The 10,777-nt window shown below is 59.9% G+C and overlaps 1 protein-coding gene across 2 annotated transcripts, besides 5 other annotated features; it reads right to left on the reverse strand.

Moving 5' to 3' along the window:
- On the reverse strand, positions 1–5,349 carry SPATA2L (spermatogenesis associated 2 like). 2 transcript variants are annotated; one of them, NM_152339.4, is made up of 3 exons: positions 5,272–5,349; positions 4,574–4,877; positions 1–1,949 (listed from the first exon to the last, which is right to left on the reverse strand). In NM_152339.4, exons 2-3 carry the CDS (start codon positions 4,874–4,876, stop codon positions 978–980), a joined length of 1,275 nt encoding a protein of 424 aa, NP_689552.2. In that variant the 5' UTR covers position 4,877; positions 5,272–5,349; the 3' UTR covers positions 1–977. The 2 variants fall into 2 exon arrangements, with proteins under 2 accessions (NP_689552.2, XP_005256336.1); XM_005256279.6 differs by having other exon boundaries at positions 5,135–5,349.
- Positions 3,087–3,952: an enhancer, noted in NCBI's record as "H3K4me1 hESC enhancer chr16:89765851-89766716 (GRCh37/hg19 assembly coordinates)". NCBI's record gives its function as "activates a minimal SCP1, AML or CMV promoter by ChIP-STARR-seq in naive H9 embryonic stem cells {active_cell/tissue: H9 hESC(naive)}" and the evidence as "EXISTENCE:reporter gene assay evidence [ECO:0000049][PMID:30033119]".
- Positions 4,955–5,054: a silencer, noted in NCBI's record as "silent region_7920". NCBI's record gives its function as "represses an Ori minimal core promoter by ATAC-STARR-seq in GM12878 lymphoblastoid cells {active_cell/tissue: GM12878}" and the evidence as "EXISTENCE:reporter gene assay evidence [ECO:0000049][PMID:35858748]".
- Positions 5,225–5,944: a silencer, noted in NCBI's record as "silent region_7921". NCBI's record gives its function as "represses an Ori minimal core promoter by ATAC-STARR-seq in GM12878 lymphoblastoid cells {active_cell/tissue: GM12878}" and the evidence as "EXISTENCE:reporter gene assay evidence [ECO:0000049][PMID:35858748]".
- Positions 9,874–10,053: an enhancer, noted in NCBI's record as "active region_11418". NCBI's record gives its function as "activates an Ori minimal core promoter by ATAC-STARR-seq in GM12878 lymphoblastoid cells {active_cell/tissue: GM12878}" and the evidence as "EXISTENCE:reporter gene assay evidence [ECO:0000049][PMID:35858748]".
- Positions 10,031–10,531: an enhancer, noted in NCBI's record as "H3K4me1 hESC enhancer chr16:89772795-89773295 (GRCh37/hg19 assembly coordinates)". NCBI's record gives its function as "activates a minimal SCP1, AML or CMV promoter by ChIP-STARR-seq in naive H9 embryonic stem cells {active_cell/tissue: H9 hESC(naive)}" and the evidence as "EXISTENCE:reporter gene assay evidence [ECO:0000049][PMID:30033119]".

Genomic DNA, 10,777 nt, shown 5'->3' on the forward strand with positions numbered 1-10,777 from the left:
TGGTTTCACCAGCGTTTAATGTGCTCTGATGTTGACCGTCCCTCTGAGTGTTCTGGGGAGGAGGGGGTGGGGCGGAGGGTCAGGAAAGCAGGCTCAGCTTCCAGGGTCAGGGAGTTGTGGGCCCAGAGGGGCTGTCACAGTGGATGCACCCTGCCCTCTCCCTCGCCAGACCCGAGGGTAGGGCAGAGGCACCTCCTCGCCAGCCTGTGGGCTGCACCCACAGGGAATGGAGGGGAGGGGCACCATTACCACTGGACCCACCAAGACCCCGCCGCCTGGGCGGGCTGTCCACAGGCCCTTCCGCCCAGCAGCAGTGACGCTCAGGGCCTTCCCAGCTGTCAGCCACTGCCCGTTCCTGCGCCTCTCGTGCACCTCCACATCTGGTTTGAGGTCAGGTCATTTCCTGTCTGTGGGCCCAGCTGCTGTGACACCCAAGGGGAGGGCCGGCGTCCCCGAAGCCAGGTCAGCCGTGCACCCGGCAGAGCCCCGCAGATTGGCTCCAGCAGAGCTTGGGGTGGGGGGAGCTCGGTGTCACCAACAGGCCCTTGAGGACACTCGTGTGGAGAATCCCTGGGACACGTGGAGGACCCCCAAGTCCTGAGCCCCGTACTCCGTACTGCAGGGAGCAGGCCAGGAGCCACGGGCCTTGGGGCACAGGGTCCTTCTCAGGGACAGGTTCAGGCACTGGCTGGAACAGGCTGGACCCCTCTACCCAGCACATGTGGGCATGCGTCTGGGTTCCGAGGGTGGGGAAATGTGGAAAGGCTCCTGCTGGCCGGCTTAGGCCTGCTGCCCTTGGAGCCTTCCATATACAGAGAGTCCCACCTCCAGCAAGGGTTGGCCTGGACTCTCCAACCCCCTGCTGTGCCCAGGACTCCCCCAGGGACAAGGCAACCAGAGGCCCAGACCCCTCCCCAGCAAAGAGAAGCACCACGGGAGCTGTCTCCCAAGAGCCCTTGACCTGGGGCCCAGCTGGCCTAGGGCCGGGCCCCGGGGCTGTTGTAGAGCAGAGTGTCCATCTGTGCACGCTGTAGCCACAAGCGCCGCTGGGCGTCGCCAAGCAGCACACGCAGCGAGTGGCCTGGACGGCAGGCGGGCAGGGCTGCACAGTGGGCAGCATGCAGCTGGCGACAGGTGTCGCAGCAGAGGGTGGGCAGGGCGCCAGGGGACAGGCAGCTGTGTGCCTGGTAGCCTGGGGGCTCCGAGACAGACCTATAGGCTGAGGCTGGTACCCCCTCTGCCCGAATACGCCTCGGGCTGGCCGCTGCAGAGCTTTCAGGGGTGGCCAGGTCCCCAGGCCTACTCAGCTCACGGCGCAGAGAGAGGAAGGAGAAGGCGGAAGGTTCAGGTTCCAGCCCCTCCTCCAAGGCCCCATATGGTGGGCTGCTGGCCTGCGGCAGCTCCTCAGCTGGGGGCTCCCAGGCCCGGCCCCCAGTGCCCCACAGTTTGGCACTCTGCTCCCAGAGTGGTGGCCTGTAGGCCAGCTCCGCCGGGGGCGAGTCAGGGCCTGGTGACGGCTCCCCATACAGGCTGGCGTCCTCCGACCCCTCGTCTTCCTGCAAGTCCCGGTATAAGTCCAGTGGGGCCCTGTAAGCAGCAGGGGAGCCTCGGGGGGGCAGGGGTGGCGGCTCCTCATCCTGGGCCAGCCGCTGCTGCAGCCAGGCCACACAGGAGGCCACGTCCCCGCTGGCACGCCGTGCCTGCAGCAGCTCCTCAGCTGGCAGCACACTGGTGCCCAGCTGGGCCAGCACCTCACCCAGGATCTCACACTCCAGCCGGAGGGCGAAGCAGCCCAGGGCCACCTGCACCAGCTGGCAGGCGGGGGGCAGGGCGGTCACCATGAGCCGATGGCTGTCTCTGCGTACGTAGCCCATCTTCTGGAAGCTCTTCAGGAGGAGGTCGTCTGAGAGCACACCCTTCAGCACGTGCACGTAGCCCCCAGAGAAGGTCTGCAAGGGAGCGGCCAGGTCAGTGACTGCCCACCCTCCCATAGGCCAGACCCTAGGGTACAGTGGGTCCGGGATCTGTTGGCTCAGGCCTTGGCAGCTTCTGATGCTCAGACCCAACCCCAGAGACTAGGCTTAGCCAGCTTGGGCCAGGCCCAAACATGATGATTTCTTTTTTTTTTTTTTTTTTTTTTTTTTTTTGAGACAGAGTCTTGCTCTGTCATCCAGGCTGGAGTGCAGTGGCTCCATCTCAGCTCACTGCAGCCTCTGCGTCCCAGGTTCAAGCAAGTTCCCCTGCCTCAGCCTCCCGGGTAGCTGGGACTACAGGCGCCCACCACCACACCCGGCTAATTTTCATATTTTTAGTAGAGACAGGGTTTCACCATGTTGGCCATGCTGGTCTCAAACTCCTGACCTCAAGTGATCCGCCTGCCTTGAGCTCCCAAAGTGCTGGGATTACAAGCGTGAGCCACTGTGCCCGGCCTAGAATTTTTTTTTTTTTTTCTTTTTTGAGACAGAGTCTCGCTCTGTCTGGAGTACAGTGGCACGATCTCGGCTCACTACAACCTCCTCCTCCCGGGTTCAAGCGATCTTCCTGCCTCAGCCTCCTGAGTAGCTGGGATTACAGGTGCGCACCACCACGCCCCACTAATTTTTGTATATTTAGTAGAGACGGGGTTTCACCATGTTGACCAGGAAGGTCTTGATCCCTTGACCTCATGATCCACCCACCTTGGCCTCCCGAAGTGCTGGGATTACAGGTGTGAGCCACCGCACCTGGCCGAATTTCTTAAATTTAATGGAAAAAACAATGAATACATTAACCTAGCTCACAAATCAGAACAAAATGAAGAGCCCCTGTACTGAGAAATTCCACTGTCTTCTGTCCCACCGCTCCCTTCACCCCTGGAGATGGCCTCATCTAATTAGTTTTGAATGTACTTGCCCAGGTGTTTGTTTTGCAAACCCAAATACAGATTTCGTTTGCTCCTCGTATGAGGTAGTCCCCCCTTTTTTTTCACCTCTTTGTAAGGTCTCTAACCAAAGCTAGACAGGTAGCCTCTTAAACGTGTTGTTCTGAACTTTGTTTTTTTCCACTACAGTCTTGCAGACAAGGACAGAAGCTGTAACGTTCATTCCCCCTGCTGTGTAGTATTCCACCATGGGGGTGACACGTCTGTTTTCAGCGCTCTCCAGAGGCTGTCCATGCACTGGGCTGACAGCCGTGGGACGGTAGAAGGGTGAGTGCTCTTTTTTTTTTTTTTTTGAGACGGAGTCTCACTCTGTCACCAGGATGGAGTGCAGTGGCTCGATCTCTGCTCACTACAACCTCCACCTCCCAGGTTCAAGTGATTCTCCTCCCTCAGCCTCCTGAGTAGCTGGGATTACAGGCGCGTGCCACCACACCCAGCTCATTTTTGTATTTTTTAATAGAGACGGGGTTTCACCATGTTGGTTAGGCTGGTGTCAATCTCCTGACCTCGTGATCTGCCCACCTCGGCCTCCCAAAGAGCTGGGATTACAGGCGTGAGCCACCGCGCCCGGCCTGGCTGAGTGCTTTCTAGCCTACACTTAGGTGAAGAACTAAAGGAGCTCAGGACAATCACTGCGAGCGTCTCCTGACTCTCAAATTCCCTAACTCCGGGACTCCTAGCATCTAATGCCTGGACACGGCCCACGTGTGGAGCGCCCAGTGCCTGCAGCACTGAGCTCGGGGCTTTGATTCATTCCTCTGGCCCCATGAACTGGACTGTTCCCGTGTCGCTGTCTCAGGAGGAAAGGGGCTGACAGAGATTAGCTAATTTGGCCAAGTCCTCGCGGCCAGGAAGCAGCAGAACTAAGTCCAAACCAGGGCTGTCCGGCACTGAAGCCGGTTATTCCCCCGCCCCGCCCCCTGGGAGGCCTCAAGGGCGGGCCTGTCCGTCCTCTCTCATGAATGAAAGTCCTGGCGCCTCCGACCAGCAGGTGTCCCCGGGGAGCCGCGGAGAGACTGCCGCTGCCATGGCAACCGGCGGAGGCGTAGCTCGCCCACGTGCCCAGTGACGTCATCGGCTTCCTACTCTTCCGAATTAGCTCAGAGCTCCCGGCGGCCCTGCCCCCTCCTGCCGCCAGGAGCTCACCTGGAGAGGCCAGGCCAGCCCTGGGCACAGCCTCCCGCCCCAGGCCGTGGAGTTCACTAGGTCTGAGCCCAGCCCTGAGACTTCACAGGGATGCACCCATCTGCAGTCCTCCCAGCCTCGGCGGCCTCCTCTGCAAATGGGATTGGCCCATAACCTGGAGGAATTAGGATGACCATGGGAACTCAAGTCCCTTCTGTGCCCCCGTCCTAAGATTTCCATGGCAACTGGGGCCGCGAGGCCTCTTAGGGAAGACACTGACGCAAGCTCTCAGGGCAGGACCCCGTAGGCAGCACCCAAGCCTGCCCTCGCCCACCCCATGTTCTCAGCCCTAGGAGTGGGTGCCCCCACACGCCCACGACCCCTCAGCGCTCGGAGCCTTGAGGAGCCCACCAGGCACTGAGGACACTTGAAGCCCCTCTCTCTCGAAAGGCGTGGTCCCCCATGGTCGGCGGCCCCGCGACCCGCAGGCCAGGACGAGGGGCGCGCTCCTCCTGGCCTGGCGCCTACCTTGATGGTGGTGAACTCCTTCCTCCAGGGCAGCAGGTACAGGTGCACCGCGGCGAGCTCCAGAAGCTCGAAGGCGCGAGCCAGGCCGCGTAGCGCGGGCGCCAGGTCGGCGCGGCCCCACAGCCCGTCGGTGAGCAGAGCCAGCGCGTCGTCCTGCAGCGCCCCGTGCAGGTCGAAGTCCTCCACCAGGATCTGCCAGAGCACCGCGCGCAGCGAGGGGTCCCCGCACACGCCCGCGCGGCCCCGTCGCAGCTCGCGCTCCAGGCACTGGCGGTAGTCCTCGGACAGCGAGCTGCTGCCCATCCTGCGGCGGACGGGGGTCGGGGGGGTCAGGGACCTAAGGCCGCGCCCAGCCCGCCGCGCTCTCCCCGAACCCTCACCCAGCGTCCCCAGGACCCCTCGAGCCTGGAGACCCCGCCCCCAGCGGCTGGGCGCCCCCGGTATCTTCGGCACCCCCTACGCTGGAGACCTCGGCCCCATCAGCTGCCCGCCCACCCAGCGATCCAGGCCCCTCCAGTTGAGCGCCCCCGCACCTCCAGCCCCTCCCTCCAGCCTGGGTACCTCGGCCTTCCAGGGGCGCCCCCGGTTATCGACCGCACCCTTCTCTAGAGACGCGCTTCCGCCCGCTGAGCCCTCTCCCGACCAGAGCCCCTTCGCCCGGCAGATGGAGCTGCGGATCCCGCGGGTGACGGCGCTACCTGTCTGTCCCCAGCGGTCTCCGGCCGCCGCGGATCAGTTCGGGCCTCCCCGCGCGCCGCGCGCTTCCGCCGGGAGTCGGCTCCGCCCGGGGTCCGCGGCCGTGACGCTGGGGGCGGGGCGGGGCTTGGCGCAGGCCCCGCCTCCGAATAATTTAGGAGGGGCGGGGCCTGGTGAAAGGGGAGGAGGAGGTGTCAGCCCGGCCGAGCCCCTGCGCGAGGCACCCCGAGAGCCTCCTGTCACCGCGTCGCCCGTCTCCTCGCGGGACCGGTATCGTTCACGACGCCGCTGGGCCGAGGGCTGCGGGCTCATGGCAGGCGCTCAGGGAACGTTGTGCCTGGGCCGCTCCTCCCCACGAGACAGGGACCCAGCCCCAGGCGACCCGGCCGCGGGGAAGCAGGTGCGCGGGCTCGTCCCCTGGGGGGTGGGGCCACCGGCATTACCTGGCGGGGATTGGCTGGATCCTGGGAAGAGCCTTTCCTGCGGGGCGGGGCCACCTGCATTACCTGGCGGGGATTGGCCGGATCCGGGGGCGGGCCTCCCCTGTGGGGCGGGGCCATCCCCTTGAGGGAGGGGCCCGCGGCACGGAAGGTGGGCGGAAGGACAAGCCTTTCAGCCTCGTCTGAAACAGCAGCCTCAGGTGGATGCGGGGACCTCAGATTCTGTTTATGCTGGCTCCGCTTCCCGGCCTCCTGCACTTGCCATCTGCAGCCCTTGAGAGCATCGTCTGGGCGGGTCTCTGAGGCAGGGCGAAGCCGCCCCCCTCTCTAGGCTAAAAGCTGACCTGGGCTGCGGATCCACCCAGGCTAAATCTGGGCCACGACTTCCCGGGGACGTTTTCTTCGCTCGGGTTCCTCTGTTCTGTGCTACAGCCACTTTCTCGCATTGCCCAGAAGTAGAGGAGGATGAGGGAGACCCTTGGAGGTCCCAGCCGAAACCCACCCCTACCCCACACCCCCGCTTTGGGCAGGCTTTGCTACTTCACGTCTGTGTCCCTCATCTCTCCAGGCCACCAAAACCAAGGCCCAAGTTTGTTGAAACTTTCCCTGGGCCTGGGCGGCGAGGTCCCCCCTTTTTCTTAGATTTTTTACCTGGAAGTTCCCTGCTGGCATCTTAGAAATAGTGATCATGACCGGGTGCGGTGGCTCACGCCTGTAATCCCAGCACTTTGAGAGGCCGAGGCGGGCGGATCACCTGAAGTCAGGAGTTCAAGACCAGCCTGGCCAACATGGTGAAACCCCGTCTCTATTAAAAATACGAAAGTTAGCCGGGCGTGGTGGCACATGTCTGTAAGCCCAGCTACTTGGGAGGCTGAGGCAGGAGAATTACTTGAACCTGGGAGGCAGAGGTTGCGGTTGCAGTGAGCTAAGATCGTGCCACTGCACTCCAGCCTGGGTGACAGAGCGAGAATGTCTGGAAAAAAAAATCGTGATGCAGTCGGTGGATCTCCCTGAGTTATCTAGGTGGCCACCTCTGGACAGGGAGCTCTTTTACTTACTGTTTACTGAACTCACTCTTGGTGCCCAGTGCCACCATGGGTCCACACCAGTCCTCAGGACAGCTAACTTCGTAAGTCTCATCTTTATTCTTCTTCTGATGCGGAGGAGGGTGGAGGTAACTGTTCTGCCTTTGTCCTCACTGAATTTGGCAACACCAGTCCATCCATCCAGCAGTGGGCCTAGCTCTCCTCCCATAGGCCTGGGTGGGTTTTTGCACCTGCCTCAACCCATGGAATAGAACTGATGTGGAATGAATTCCAAGGCTAAATCATAAACATGCCATACCCTGGCCTTGTCTTGAGATCCTTGGCCTCTGACATGGTTTGGTTCTGTATCCACACCCAAAATCTCATCTTGAATTGTAATCCCACAGGTCTGGAGCAGGACCAGGTGGAGATAATTAAATCTTGGGGGCAGCTTCCTCCATGCTGTTCTCGTGATAGTGAATTCCACGAGATCCGATGGTTTTATAAGGGGTTCTCCCCTTTGTTCAGTGCTCATTCTCGCTCCTGTCGCCCTGTGAGGAGACGCCTTCTGCCATGATTGTGAGTTTGCTGAGGCCTTCCCCAGCCATGCGGAACTGTGAGTCAATTAAACGTCTTTTCTTTATAAATTATCCAGCCTCAGGCAGCTATTTACAGCAGCATGGGGACGGACTAACACACCCTCAGAACCCAGCCACTAGAGTGAGAAGGCCACGGCCGTGTGCAGAGCTTTTGGCCTGCAACTTCGACCTGCGACTCACATTCACCTGCAGCCTATTCTTGGGACTTTTTTGGAAATAGTTTTTCCAGACAAAAATCAAGATGAGTTTGTTCTGGGCCGAGCGCAGTGGCTCACGCCTGTAATCCCAGCACTCTGGAAGACCGAGGCAGGTGGATCACGAACTCAGGAGATCGAGACCATCCTGGCTAACACACTGAAACCCCATCTCTACTAAAAAATACAAAAAATTAGCTGGGCGTGGTGGCGGGCATCTGTAGTCCCAGCTACTCGGGAGACTGAGGCAGGAGAATGGCGTCAACCCAGGAGGCGGAGCTTGCAGTGAGCCGGGATCGCGCCACTGCACTCCAGCCTGGGCCACAGAGCAAGACTCTATCTCAAAAAAAAAAAAAAAAAAAGGATGAGGTTGTTCTGGGTTGGCATGGGCCCTCAATCCAGTATGACTGCTGTCCTTATGAGGAGAGAGAAACTTAGATATGAACGCACAGGAGAGAAGACCGCTTAAAGACGGAGGCAGAGTGGAACGAGGGTGCCGTGAGCGAAGGTAACACAGCTGTGTTAGAGCCACCAGAAACTGGAGGCAAACAGAATTCTACCCTAAAGCCTCCAGAGGGAGTCAGCCCTGCTGACAGCTTGATTTTGACTTCAGGCCTGCAAGATGGTGAGAGAGAACATTTCTGTTGCTGTAAGCCACCCATTTTGTGGTCGTTTTGGCAGCCCCTGGCAACACATCCAGTCCTCACGTCGTCGTTCCGACAGCCCTGAATGAGGTCCCAGCCGACAGCTGGCACCAACCATAGACAGCAGACAGCTCTTCGGATGAATCCAACCCCTGGTCATTGGGTTACCACCTAGAAACAGCCTCCCATGATGCTGAGGAGCCATCTGGCTGATTTTTGTACTTTTTGTATTTTCAGCAGAGACAGGGCTTCACTATGTTGGCCAGGCTGGTCTCAAACTCCTGACCTCAGGTGATCCACCTACCTCGGCCTCCCACAGTGCTGGGATTGCAGGCGTGAGCCACGGTGCCCAGCCTAATTTTTAACTTTTTAGTAGAGAGGGGGGCCTTACTATGTTGCCCAGGCTGGTCTCAAACTCCTGGGCTCAAGTGATCCCCCCGCCTCAGCCTTCCGAAGTGCTGGGATTCCAGGTGTGAACCACCATGCCTGGCGTCTTGAGTATTTAAGCCCCTGAGTTGGGGTAGTTTGTTAGGCAGCGGTGGCTACGTGGGCTGTACACATTCACGGCTCCCTCCCTTCCTGCCCGGGGATGGACACTCCATGAGCTGCCGTGTGGATTCTCCGTCCTTCCCTGCCCTCCCGGGACAGACACTCCATTGCCTCCACTGCATATACATCCTCTAAAACCGGCAGCAGCCTTGCCAGGTCGGAGGTTCCGTCCACACTTACCTGGACTCCAGGACTGCACCTGGTCCCCTGGGGCCACTGCCGTGTCCACCCCACAGTGTGCGTGAGCTCCCTCCCCCTCCTGTACTCAGCATCGTCCAGCTTCCTCATCTTCTCCGGTCCAATGGATATAAGGTTACATCTTGTTTACTTTTCATTTGATTTTTGTTATGATTTGGACACTGCTTATGCAGAATAGTTTTATTTTTATTTTTTTTTAGATGGAGTCTCGCTCTGTGCTCAGGCTGGAGTACAATGGCGTGATCTCGGCTCACTGCAGCCTCTGCCTCTCAGGTTCAAACAATTCTCCGGCCTCAGCCTCCTGAGTAACTGGGACTACCGCCACCACGCTCAGCTAATTTATGTATTTTTAGTAGAGACGGGGTTTCGCCATGTTGGCCGGGCTGGTCTCGAACTCCTGACCTCAAAAGAGCCGTCCGCCTCGGCTTCCCAAACCGCTGGGGTTACAGGCATGAGCCACTGCGCCCAGCCATTACTTTTTATTTTATTTTTATTTTTTGAGACGGAGTTTCTCTCTGTCGTCCAGGCTGGAGTGCAGTGGCACGATCTCAGCTCACTGCAACCTCTGCCTCTCAGGTTCACGCCATTCTCCCGCCTCAGCCTCCCGAGTAGCTGGGACTACAGGTGCGGGCCACCACGCCCGGCTGATTTTTTGTATTTTTAGTAGAGACGGGGTTTCACCGTGTTAGCCAGGATGGTCTTGATCTCCTGACCTCGTGATCCGCCCACCTCGGCCTCCCAAAGTGCTGGGATTACAGGCGTGAGCCACCGCGCCCGGCCATTTGTAGGATTTCTAAAAGGAAGCTGCTATTATTCATTCCTGTCTTATGGGGGAGCTGCAGGCTCAGCGAGGGCAAAGCTGCACAGCAAACAGCAGCACTTGAACATGTCTGCCGGGTCTCAGCGCCAGGGATACAGCTGAGCCAGGACGTTCCCGGCCCCCACAGTGTGCAGGCTGCAGGTGTGGCCCCGATGCCAAGCCAGCAGGGGCTCCCACGCCAGGATTTGTTCAAGACACAGCTCATCTCCACCATTCTATGAAGCGGACTTTAAAATCCCATCTTCTAGACACCAACGCTGAGGCCGGAGCAGCCCAAGCTCCAAGGCACCGTGGCCAGCTGGGGTTCGTATCGAGGGCTGGGGCAGATGCTCCAGCTCTGCCCCACCCAGAGAGACACTTCTGTCTCCCTATGGGGTCCTTGGCGGGTAAACCAGCCCCTGCTCAGGGTGCAAGCACAGAGCATCCCACCGAGGTCCACAGCTACTGCTTTTAAGACTGTTTCCCTGAGAACAGCAACACTGCCCCCCAGCCAGCTCCTGGTAGCATCTAGGGTTGGGACCTCCCACCCCACCAGCCCTGCCACCTGCCTCCTCATGGCATCTCAAGGTGCCAGGGGTGCCTTTCTTGCAGAAGAGCCCTCCATCCTGATCTGCCCACACCGCCCTGGCAGATGCTGTCCACGCCCGGCAGCCTTCTGTGCACCTCAGAGCATGTGTGTGTCGCCATGCACAGAACGATGATTCCTGAGACCCTCGGGTGACTGCTCTGGGCTCAGGTCCCCAGTGATGACCTGGACCCCAGCCTCACCCCACCCTTCCCACCCACTGATGCCCTGCAGAGCTCTCCTGTCCAAGAGGGTGAAGCCCACACCTGCCTGGCCAGGCACAGCCCCAAGAGGACCCTGCTTCTATGCAGAGGGTCTCGGAGGCTGGCAGATGTTCAAGAGGTTGGGCCAGGCTTGGTTTGGGGCTGGGCTGTGGCTCGTCCCCCACATCCTCAGCGGCCTCTGCCATGGGCAGCAGGGGTGGTTGTGCTGCCTGGCCAGTGGGGTGGGGATTGAGGGAGCCACACGGCGAAG

The sequence above is a fragment of the Homo sapiens genome, chromosome 16 (genome assembly GCF_000001405.40).
Source record: "Homo sapiens chromosome 16, GRCh38.p14 Primary Assembly".
NCBI classification, from domain to species: Eukaryota; Metazoa; Chordata; class Mammalia; order Primates; family Hominidae; genus Homo; species Homo sapiens.